Source organism: Homo sapiens, chromosome 2 (assembly GCF_000001405.40).
Source record: "Homo sapiens chromosome 2, GRCh38.p14 Primary Assembly".
Taxonomy (NCBI): Eukaryota; Metazoa; Chordata; class Mammalia; order Primates; family Hominidae; genus Homo; species Homo sapiens.
The window spans coordinates 145,756,786-145,769,705 of NC_000002.12; the positions used below are offsets into that span (position 1 = coordinate 145,756,786).

Below are 12,920 nucleotides of genomic sequence, written 5' to 3' on the forward strand. Positions count from 1 at the left end.
TGCGATTACAGCTGTGAGCCACCATGCCTGGCCTCAGGGTTCTTACGTTAATAAAATGACATATTTTAGGTTCTTAGCAAAGTGATTTATCACATACTGAGTGCTGAATAAATGTTGGCTATTATTTTCAGGTTACTGCTCAGAATCCGGTAGTAGTCTTGTTCTAATAGTTCTTGCTATCTCAAGTTATAACTCTTTTATGTAGTCAGGCTGTGTTCTTTTCCCCTGCTCAGTGTCTATTGTGTGGCTTGAAGTAGCAGCATAACCACTCAACCACTCTCTGTTTGTAGGGTTCTGTGGTGTTGACCCCAACACCCTGTTCCAGATGTGTCCTCCAAACCAGGACTGCCGAATTAGCATAGTCCAATCCTCTGGCAATAATAATTAGGCCAAGGTTGAGCACTGGACCAAAGTCTGGCCAATAGGATTTAATTATATGGCTTTACTTTTAGAACTTTTGTCTGTTAATGTTTTATTGGACTTTCTATTAATTCTTAAAAGTCTGATGGTGCTGGTTACCACCCAGTATTCCTCTTAGATGTGGGTTACTAGGGTCCCCATCCAAGGCATACTCTTGCTCCCCTGCCCTGCCCTTTCCTAAGGAGCAAAGGAGACATGACTACCGGAAACATACCCCTGCCTTGGTACAAAAACACTAGAATTTTCTGCCAAACAGTTGTCAGTTTCCAGGGCCCAAAATAGGCCCCTTTTTAGGCTCCATATTCAGGGAGAGGGGAAGGACTTCAAGCCAGGCATCCCTATTTTACACAAGCCTAAAATGTACATTTGCAGGCCCTGAAAGCGTTTGGAGCATGCTTAGGGCAAATATTTGTAGTCAGTGTGCCTAAAAGTGAAACCAAGGATGAGACAAGCAATCAAGGGACTGAGACAGAGTCTTGATGGACTTCTTTGAGTTCTAGATCCAGCTATGTGAGAAGCAAGACTAACCCTTGGATTTTCGAGCTCCTGAGTCAATAGGTTAGTTTGAACATGTTTTCTTTCATTTGTAACTCAGAGGGTTCTGTCTGAGACACTTTTCCTTTGTACTCCATCCTGAATTGACATTCCTTTATCTGTAATCATAACACCACTTATAATATTCAGAACTTTATCATATTCTCTAATTATTTAATGCAGGAGAATTTTTCTTTCTCAAGATTTCCAAAGGATGTTTGCAAGCTGTGCAAGAGGATGGAGTTTGGACTCACTCTGATGTGACTAAATGTATGACCTTGAATAAGTTAGTTAACTTCCTTGATACTTAGTTTCTTCATCGTTAAAATGGAAATAAGCCTACTCAAAGTTCTAGGATTGCTTAAGAGATTGAATGTAATCAGCCTTGTACACAATAGTCATTCAACAAATACCTTGATCATTTCCTTGAGGGCCTTGGCTGTAGAAGGTAAGAAAACCAAATTAACTGATTTAAGTAAAGTGTCTTTTTAATTTAAATATATATTTTTTTAAACATTTTTGTGGGTACATAGTAAGGTGTATAGAATATGATAAAAGAAGCGTCTTTTAAAAAATCATTAATGTAATATCTCATGGAGAAAGACGTAGATAGGCAAGGGTTAGCTGGTAGCAGGGACACAAAAACCAAACTATTTTTTTTCAGCTCTCCTTACCTATTCCATTCTTTCCTTTTGGTGCTATCTGGCTTTGTCTCATTCTCAGTGTACAGTGAGGTATAAGGCTTCCAACAGACCCTAGGTTTGTTTGCATCTGCTTCATTCAAGAGTGCATCTAAACTGAGCTAGAAAGTTTTATTCTTATGTCAAATTTTTAGGAAGTACTCTGATTTCTTTAATTTGGACCAATCAAATGTGGCTAGGCAAGAGGTTAAAAATTGTATTAACCTTCTGCAGTAACATAAGGTTGAAGTGAGGGGAGGAGAATTCCCAAAAGATAACAGCACTGGTGCCACAAAAAAGGGAGATTAGGCTAGAAAAACATGTGATATTAGACTATAGCAATAGTTTTTAAGAAAATATTCTGAATTTCCTACCTTTCTAACAAAATACTAAGTACATGTTAGTGTACCATAAACACATGACTAAATATTTTGTGTTTTGAAACTCAAAACTGAACCTACAAACAGAGGGGCTGAGTGGTTTCTTAATCACCACACAGCAGGGGAAATAAATCAGCAATGAGACTTGACCTCTTAGTCCCTTAATATGATCCCAAGAATCTTTAATTCAAGTATTTATCAAGGCTTCTTCTTTTAAAGTGACCATGTAAATCTTTAGTAGATGGCTGTTATAATGTTGATATGGACGCATTATGTATGAAAAATGGGTAGCTGAACACTTGCAGTGACTGATTTCCACGCATTAATAACCTGACCATTTAATTAAAATATAATGCCCGAGGGTCCCAATCCGCAACACAGAATGACCTAGTGAATGTCCTGTCATTGAGAGGTAGGAGAGGGATAAGAAGAAGTAACTCAGCGACAGACTGGTCACCTTTGTATCTTTGCATGACTTACTATAACTAAAGCCTAACTATGTCTGAGCCCAGAACTCCCACCTAGCAGGCTTTCTAGCTCTGTGTATGGTGTTTGGATTTTGTGCATTCCTTTGAGCTCCAAGGCTGTGAGTGCACCACAATGCAACAGAAATGTGCAAATTCCAGTGGAAGTCACTGGCACTTCTTTGGCTCCTGAAAATACACCATCATTGTGATGTCCCAGAAATAGCCACACTCTGAAGGTTGTTTCTTTAGCCAGTGTAAGCCAGAGACTCTACTGCATAAGTGGGACATGCTAGCTCAGAAACTTATAATGTAAAGTTTTCATGTTCAGCTCACTTCTTAGTTTACAAAAACCCTTATCAAAAGAGCATTCTAAATTGGAATTAGTTAGTGATCCAGGTCTCTAAAGCCCAGGACTGGAAGAAAAGATTTCTTAATTACACCAGCAGGGGCTTGGTTTCTATTCTTAGTGCATCTGGGTAATGTGGTTATGTTCATGATGCGTCTAGTTTCTGCACTGCCAGGGATAGCCTTCGGTTCATTCTATGTTAGGGTGTACAAATGGAGGGTCTCTGAGTTTGCTCTTTTTCCTGGATAGAGGTAATTCAGGATTCTCAAAAGCAACATATCAATGTAATTTTTATTGTGCTATGTCTTAGGCCAATCAGATTGAAGTTTATGTAAAACACAAAATTATTAAAACAAAGGATAATTTGATAGGAATTTTGAGTTATTTGCATATCCTGTTCAGTGAATGTCACTACTCAGCCCTCACTGAAAGTAGATCGGATTGAAACTTCCAGGCTACCTTGAGGGAGAAGTAAGGGTTACTATTCAGAGAGTATCTATGCTGCAGTTTTCTGCTAGTAGGCCATCTATGAAATGGGAAACTCAGGGTGTCTTTCTTTGCCAATAGAGCACCATCTATGTGCTTCTGTTTCTGAGAGGAAGAGTAAGTGTCAGGAATCAGTTTCCAACAATCTCTCTTTTTCTGCCTGAAAGTTGAGTTATGTGTTCTGAATTACTGTAAATTTTTATACAAACCTATGTCCTTGTGATATTGTTTGATTTATAACTTTTGGCTACCTTCAAAGTTCTGAAAAGTACAACAAAACACAGCTTAGGGAGAAAATACAGATTTCTTTTTAACAGAAATAGTTGGTGAGTTAAATCAAGGGCCCAAATATTTTTAATTGCTGTACTTTTTTATTTAAAAATATACAATAGTCTACCCTGAGGTAAAAAATAAATAGCTTGGTGTCATAAAGTTAATAGACACTATTCACAAAGTTGGGTTTAATACCAAGGCGTTTATTTTCGATCATTAAAAATCTACTTCAGATGGCAATATTCTTTTGTACAAAAATTTAACAGAAATTCATTTACATTCTTCTCCATTTTATGTTTATCTGAGGAAAATGATGCCATAAGTTCTTATGAAACAGAACAAGCCAAAAACTTTTCTTTTAACTAATCCTGATGAAGTTTGTCAAAGTAAGATTTAAGGCAAGAAGGTTGCTTCTTGGCAGGAGAATTCTGGAAGGGAAAAGTGGCTGAAACTTTGCATGGTTGCATTTGTTTCTGGTCAAGCTGCCTTATCACAATTCAAACTCTCATGCTGGGAAATTGCTCTTTCTTTGGTACCTTTTCTGCCAGAATTCAACTCTAACAACAAAAGTTTATAAACAATGAAAATTCCAGCTGGTTGACATCAGCGTCACGAAGCTTTCTCTTCACACTGATACAAATATTTACCCTGAGCTCTGGCAAGGCTTTCCTTGCCCATGTCACCCTTAATCATACATTTTTCCTTGATTGAGTTATGCTTTCCAGTATGTGATTTGCTCTGGTTTACTTTTTAACACATCCCAGAGGCTTCGTCAAAATCAACTCTGGGCAGGCCATGTCATTTGGTAGCTGCCAAACATGTTATTGAGAAGAAACTTGGCAAATATCAAACCAGTCCTCTCTAACTGCTCTAATAAATGTTTGTTCTTTTTGACCACCATTTACTTTTTAGGTCCCTGATATCCATAAAGCTATGAGCCAAGAAAGTAAGCAGAGATGCACTCAATTCCCTATAATCTATTCCCTTGAGATAACGCACCAATTTCTCTTCCAGGTACCTTATTGCAAAGAAGTTGAAAATTTCAAAGGTTTCATCAATGACTCTTTATTTCCTTCAAGAAGACACAAAGGTTATTTTCAAAAGGTTAAAACAACAGATTGATGTACTCTGTTACTGTAGTAAAGTCCACTAGAACAAATATTTGCCACACTAAAGTGACTAGTGGAGGGATTAGCACAAAATATTGCAAATATTTCTACAGAGCTTCCCTTGCCAAAATAAAACATTGGGTTCTCTGCCCTAGGTGCTTGCAAAATCATTGTGAAGTGCATTGATAATGCAGAATTTGGGGAAATTTTTCTCTCAATATTGAAATAATTGTATAAACAGGTGTCCTACCCGATAGAAATATAAATAAATATCTCAGTTACACTAGTTTATACTTATATTGCATTTATGGTTTAGAAAAATCTGGTCATTATACAAAAGCTATATATGGACCATGTGCCACTCTACTAACTCATTTGAAAATAACATGTAGTAAGCTGTGAGAGTTAAACAACTCTTTATTTTGCCTATACTGGCTTAAAAATTAATCTCAAAAATGAGATGGAACCCCCACCTCTGACACATTCATCATTCTTGTTGTTATTGTTGTTGTTTCTCTTGTAGTCCTCAGGGAATGCATGTGAGCATGCACACACACACACACACACACACACACATGCACACACACACACGTTCCTTATACACACAATATACTTTGCTTAGAGGGTCTTATTCTTTCTCTTTGCCAACATACAGCTTCATCTATGTTTTTTTTTTTTTTTTTTAAGAACCATTTTTATTTAACACAATTTGTTTAATTAATGTGATTTCAGATGGCTTGAGGATAAGTGAACACATTTAGGTGGTATAGAGGGAAGATAATTTCAGGCTTGGGAGCCCAGTAAACACACAGAACAACATTGCTCAGGAGATTGTTCACAAGCTAGTTGCCCTTGCCTTTCATTACTTAACCCAAAGAATTTTTAAAAATTCTTAGGTTTTTCAAAAGGACCTCTATGCTGTTTCTTAAGTTTTTCTCTTTTTCTCCCATGACATCATTAGTGCCATTGAAGGTACGACAGTGTTAAGTCACCTTACTCTTTTTTTACTCCTCCCTCCATCTTGCAGCTTATACATGACAATAAGTGTTCATTATTTAATAATGTTTAAATATGCAATACCATTTCTATGTTGAGGTGTGTACTTTCCAGAGCATATTGAAATGCAGTGATGTGTAACAAAACTTACCTTCTGTGATTATTAATACATAAACATATCTGAAGACCATAGTAAATAATTATTATAATCTAAGGTGTGGCCAACATATTTGAGAAAACAGGAATTTAATAAGATATTCTCTTCAGTTCCATGGAAGAAGTTGTAGCGATTTTTTGTTAATGGAATCTCATTATTCTTTTGTATCATAAGAAGTAAATGTAGTGTAGAGACATGAAAGAAATAAGCTCTGAATAGGCCTGAAGGAGTTAGAGCAACTTCGCCAATTCCTAACCTGATCAATTCCCAAGAAAGCAAGAAGAGAAATACCAAGCACTAGTCTTTATGCTAAAGACCAGGTGGAAACCAGAGTGAATGGTAGAATTTATTATCCCTACTTTACAGGCCATGGGAAGAAGACCCTGGAAATTTCACTACCTTGCTCCTGGTAATTTAACTGGTGAATGGAGATTAGAGGTTTGAACCTAGTTAGGTTTGACAAATAGGCTTGTGTTTTTTACCTCACTTGGAGTGTCCCAGTGGAGTGACCCAGAGGGCCAGATTTGGCCAAGTGTGCACTTAACTGGCCTAAGGCACTGGGGGATTTAACAAATGGATAGCCAGTTAGGGACTAACCTCACATATCTATAGGGAATCATTATAATATTCAAATTGTGGGGATTTTCTTGGAAATAAAGTTAAAAATGGGATACTCTTTGTTTTCCCTCTGTACCCTGTGGAACTCCGGAGTTCTGCAGAGGGAGGTTAGGAGCTCCTACTGAGGCTAACATGGTGGCCAAAGAGGTAGCACTGGGACCCCACCCCTGCTATTGTCTAAAGGTCCACTCTTATCTTTTTTGATACATTAGGAATCTGCATAAGACTTTATTTATATAATTAAAAAATAATGTTTTAAACCCAAGAATTTTTATGACTCAGATCTTTGAGCATATTAAAGATACTTGAGAAATAGTTTGATCCAGACCATAATTTACATAAAGTTGCAATTTTTGCATGACATCCAAAGGCCCTTAAAGTCAAGACATCAAGTCACTGATGAGACTAGGACTCAATATAAACCTGATTTATGCTCAATTTTTCAAACAGTAAGAAAGTATGAATTACTAATTATATACCTTTATGCTCCAGTTAATGTAATAAAAGATAATGTGTATAAGTTTGCTTTCATATACACCATTGAGATTGCTTATTCAAGGGACTGTATTAATGATTCAAAGGGCAGTTTTTTATTGATTTGAATTTTTCTACATTATATGCAAGTTATATCTGATAAGACAGTAGTTCTTTATTTAATTTTAACCTAACAAAGTCTATTGTGAAGCGGAAAACACTGTTTTTGAGATTTTAGTTCTTTTCAGAATTGTTCAGGACAATGCTTATATTATGAGAATATATCTGGTTAGATCCATTGAACTAGAATTTCCAGGAGTAGGAAGCAGAAAACTGTACTGTAAAATCATGCCTAGGAGGTCTTGAATAATCAATCAGATTGGAAACCACTGATGTGCCCTATTTGATTTTCAGATGTGAAAGGCTTCTTTGCAAGGAGATTATTTTATTTTTATATAAAGCTACCTAATTTTTTAAGATACCATACCTTAGGTCCAGCTCAGTCATGTTTTCCAGACATAAAGTGAAGTGCAGCTGGGAGACAGAAGCAGTATCCGTGGCAGGCCTCCATTTACACAGAGCCCATAAGAATGGCACAGCACCCAGTGAGTCTGACATGCCTGGGGGCTCTGCTGCTCCTCTTACCCACCCTCACATGAAGATGTCTCATTCATCTTTACATCCCCAGTCCTTAGCACAGTATCTGGCACATTTTAGATACTCAACACATGTGTGTTGGTTATAAGAAATAATTAATGAGGACATCATTCAAGTTCAGTGGTAAGAAACTCTCATCAAGACTTCAGTTTTTGTCCCCTTTTAATTTAACCCAATTGCTTCTTAATTTTCAGAAATTGTTTTATCTCTCTCTTTTTTTTAGGTTCCACAATAGCATTTGACTTTCTTCTCCTAACTTTAATTTGATATCTTCCTATAGTTTCCATTTCTCAGATTCCCTCCTTCATCTTCTCTTACAGGCACAGCCAATCAACCATCCATCCTCTCCTCAACCTTCCAGAAGACTGTGAGTCCTGAGAGCATAGAAACTCTCCTGATGTTGCTCCCAGACCGTGACCCGTGCTGGCAAAGCTTCTATTCCCATGTGGCTGCATGTTTCATAAGGAGAGCTACTAAAATGCAGGAAAGCACAAAGTCTTAATTGCTTGCTAGTGGGCACTCAGCCAACACGCTGTTAGCAGAATGAAATCCAATCTTAGAGAAAAAGTGCTGAACCTCGGCTCTGGATCGCCCAAGCCCCATATGGATTGCGTGTGTTTTGGGGGAAGATTTGGATATGGCAGTCTTTTTTTTCACTCTTTTGAATGGGAATGTCAATCTATGGGTTACTAGAACATTTTATTCTTAATATAATAATCCCAGCTGCAAAACAACATTAAGAGGGAACACTGCACCTCTTCTCCCCACTTATGACCTGGACAATTAATACATTCTCATTTTTTGTGCTTCTCTGAAAATACTACTTTCAATGCAATTTCCAACCAAATTGTTACTTTGAAGAATTCATACATAGTCATTCTGAAACATCCCTGCCTTGTTCTGTTGTTTGCTATTTGATCTTTGATAATTAATCTCCCTAAATCTCAGTTGACTTATCTTTATAATGGGAAAAATAAAAATGCTTTCCTGACAGGGATGCTGTGAAGACTCAATGAGATTCAAAGCTCTTGGCAGTGTGTGGCACAAACAATAATGTCCAATATATGTTAACTCCTAATTTTATTGCTAAAAATAATAGTCTAATAGATTTCTCACTGTGAGAAATCTCAATATATAGCATAAAATATTTGGCCCCATACGTTTTGGTGTTTGGGGCTTTGACAGGTTTTCTTTGATCTGTCACATGATATATTTCTATATTTCACATGACATATTTGATATATTTCTATAGTATCCATTTTTTCTAAAATGATTAAAAACCTCTCTTCACATAAACATTACATGAGACAAAAAAACAAACAAGTAATATGTAGAGAAATATTGGACACTACACTTCTTCTGTAAATTTTAATATGAATGCCATGCTCCAAAACATAAGCTCTGGATCTCTGTCTAAATCCTAAAATGCTGAAAATCTCCCATCAGAGTTAGATGATGATGACAGGGTTGAACATGAATTTTATTTGATCCAAAGTACTTCAGAGAATGTGACATTAGACTAATTACTGAAATTTAAGGGTGTTAGGATAAGATTGCAAGCTACTTTTTTTTTTTTTTTTTTTTAACTTATCTGAGACAGGGTCTGGCTCTGTCACCCAGTCTGGAGTACAGTGGAAGGATCATGACTCACTGAAGCCTGGACATCTTGGACTCAAAGGAATCCTCCCATCTCAGCCTACCAAGTAGCTGGAATCACAGGCATGCACCACCAAGCCTGGCTAATTTTTTGTAGAGAGAGGGGTTTTCCATATTGCCCAGGCTGGTCTTGAACTCCTGAGCTCAAGTGATCTGCCTGAGTCAGCCTCCCAAAGTGTGGGGATTACAGGTGGGAGCCGCAGGGCCCAGCCAAGTTTGCAACTTACTTTGGATAACAGTCCATCCCTGAAGTTTGTAATAATTATTTGTCACACAGGTGTCTGCAAAGGATTGTTCCCGATGATACAGACCCAAACCCATCAATACCAAATCTGTCAGTCCTCTCTCCTAGGAGTTTTAGAATGTTATGCAAATGAGATATCTTTTGCCTCACCTTAATATCCCAGAATTCTCTAAAGAGCATGAAGATTATACTCTTCATGGGATATATTTTATTATTTTTTATTATAGTGAATTAAAACTCCAAAGAAGCAATGTCAGTGGTGTCTGTGGTCAGTTTCTATAATATTAATCTGTTGGTTGATGTAGCAGTTTTTAGCACAGAGAGATCTCATCCCAGAACTCTCGTTAATATCAGATACTCATCCACATAAGTACTACGTCCAACATTAAAAATTACCTTTGTCATTTTCTTGGTAAACAATAAGAGCTAGATTTGATGATAAAGACATCATCCATATGGTAATTTGATATCTCCAAAAATCAGGGTAGGCCATTTAAATTGCTAAGTTCAATAAAGCACCATTAAAGATATCTTATTCCCCTGCTCCCCAACCAATTCTGCACCCCAGGAAAGGCTTACCAAGAAAGCCTGAATGCTGTGTCTTGTTTAAGTTTGAATCAGATATGGCTCCATTTATTTCTTCAAAAAATGGTAAGAATTAATTAATATTAATCTATAATCACATTGATGGAAAAATTAATGGAAATTTTAATAAAAATGTAACCTTAACAGGATTTGAAGGTGTCCTTTAGAATATAAAGCTAACACTTTATCCACCAAGCAATGAATCCTCTGGTACCAGCTGATGAAATTATAAAAATTAGCTGCAGGATTGTTCTTCTTTTGTTCTCTATGTATCAAAAGTTTTGAGAATCAAAAAGAAAAAGACATTAAAAATTAAAGTAAATTTAGAAATTCAATAAGCTTACTCATTATCTCTATTTCTTTAGAACATACATTTTTGGGGCGAGTTGATGTGGTTGTTTATTCAAACAGACTTAATTTTCTTTCTTAACCTATCAACACTTTGGTTTGTGTTTTTACACTTATAGTTTCATAAAAGACTTGATAAACTTACATGAATAGGTCAACTTTTTAAAATTATTCAAGTTGGGAGAAATATACAATGACGAATAGGTGTTTGGCACATTAAATGTTTTTGCTTAAGGAAAAATGTATATATGCAGAAAATTAGTGCAATATTAAAATCACAATTACCAATGTTAAGCATGCATTTTCTGAAATATCAATAGTCTCATTCCTTTTCTCTGTTTACTATATACTATGTAATATTTAGCAAAGCAACTTATACATAGTGCTAAGAGCTTATAGAAAAATGAAAATTTGATCTTTTAAAATATTTGTTGAATGTTTATAACATTACATACTGTGAAAAGTACAGAATTACATACACTATTATTTTTGTCATTGTACTTCTTTAGTGCTTATCAATATTTCAATGCCAGTATGGGATGTTGAAAGCTATTTTTCTTGGCATTATGTTAGCCAGAAATCCTTATCAGAAGACACTTCTTCATAGCTATTCTTCATAACTATGGAATAATGATAACTTAGCTTTATAGTGATAACCCTAAAGCAAACAAAATATCCTGAAATCCCTTTTGAATTATCAAAGAAAAACGATTAAATAATATGAGAAAAATATAGTAATAAGTAGACTTTTATTACATTCTACTAATTTGAAAATTGATAATTCACATATTTATGGTTACTCTTCGCAAAGCAGAATTTTTGATTAACTAAAATGATGAGTTCCTGACTACACCTAATGACAGAATTGACAGTCTTAGCATGATAATTAGATCCAGTGGTGGACACTCACAAAGATGAAGAAGCAGGGATACTGACTTCTTTTCTGTTTATTATTGCAATTCGAATCATGTTTATAACCAGTGATGTGGCAAATAATCTTGTCCCTTTCTTCCTTCCAACTACTCGATTTCCTAGAACCAGCCTCTTTATTCTAAAAGCATAAGATGAGAAAAGTAACTTTAAAAAACACAGATACCAGGAGGGAGCAGCTTTTGTCATGAAGTATTCCTTAGTTGAGATATTTTCTTTAACACTGGGCAAAAATGATCTCAAAGCTGCAGACCTGCAGGAGCCCATGACCTAATGGGGACCTGCAGAAGCCAATTCCCCTCCTTAACAAAAGACTTGAGGCCTTTGTCTTAAAGATGTCTCCTTATATCAATATTATTTAACCCTTAATATTTCCCATCTTATTTTCTTGCTGACTACATAAGATGTATAAAATAATATTGTAGATGCAAAATGCTTACCCACTGTAACTGTGCCAGCAAATTAAAACAAACATTCATTTATGAGAAAAATGCATACCTTGTATCTGAAAACTAATAAAAACTGATATATATAAGGACAAACAATAATTGGTTCAAAGAATATGTGTACTTTCAAGACTTCATTCCTTTATAACAGTAATTCCCATTTGGGAGGCATTTTTCTGTTGTCACAAATCTGAGAGGCAGGTACTAGCTTATAGTCAGTAGAGGCTGCCAATGCAGCAAAATATCCTACAATGCACAGGACAGCCCACGCAACAAAGAATGATCCACCATAGAAAGTTCAATATTACTGAGGCCAAGAAATCCTGCTTTATATCCAGTGAAATTGGACTAAATCCCATTTAATGTGACTAATCTCAAATTCTCTGTTTAACTTATTTAATAAATTCAGATAAAAACATATGTGTATATACATATATATACACACATAATACAACACGTCTTCAAAATGAAAGAGCTTATGTGCTACTTATTTTGAGTGTAATATCGCTCTGCCTAAGAGCACACAAATCCACCAGAAACAGTTGTTCTATGTTCTCCACTGTCAGCACTCTACTACAGATACCCCATCTGGTGCGGTCTGATATGGATAATAATGGTGGAGTGTTCTTGCTGTCTTGACTGTAGTCATTACTGTGATGTTATTTTAGGACTAAGTAGTGTTTGCCCATTGGACCATAAAACTGTGTCATGTAAATACAGGTTTTAGAGCACACAATAGTCTGTCCATGTGTAGACATATGCAGAAAAAAAAAGCCTCATAAAATGCCTTTTAATAGTATTTGTTGGGCATGTGAAGTAATTCCTTTTCAAAGTTAAATCACTTGGAAAAAAAGAAGCTTCTCTTTTCAAAGACCCCGTAAGTAATTATACTGCATTATACATCACTCATATGTCAATGTAAATTTTGTTGTTAAATGGAAGGAGTTTTGAATGACATGGTACCAAGCGAGTGTCTGACATTAACCAAACCTTTTATTTATTTATTTACTCTCACCTGAGTTGCTCTTTGAAATTGAATTGGGGGTAGAGGGTTAGTATTTATGTAGCCAGCAACCTTATATTTGACACTTTATCCTAGAATTAAATTCTGAAC

The 12,920-nt window shown here is 35.9% G+C and overlaps 1 long non-coding RNA gene across 1 annotated transcript; it reads left to right on the forward strand.

The window, feature by feature from the left end:
• The first annotated feature begins 875 nt into the window (after window positions 1-875).
• On the forward strand, window positions 876-11,902 carry LOC124908059 (uncharacterized). The gene is made up of 2 exons (XR_007088682.1): window positions 876-978; window positions 7,918-11,902. It is a non-coding gene; the product is annotated as an uncharacterized LOC124908059 (long non-coding RNA).
• The last annotated feature ends 1,018 nt before the right edge of the window (window positions 11,903-12,920 follow it).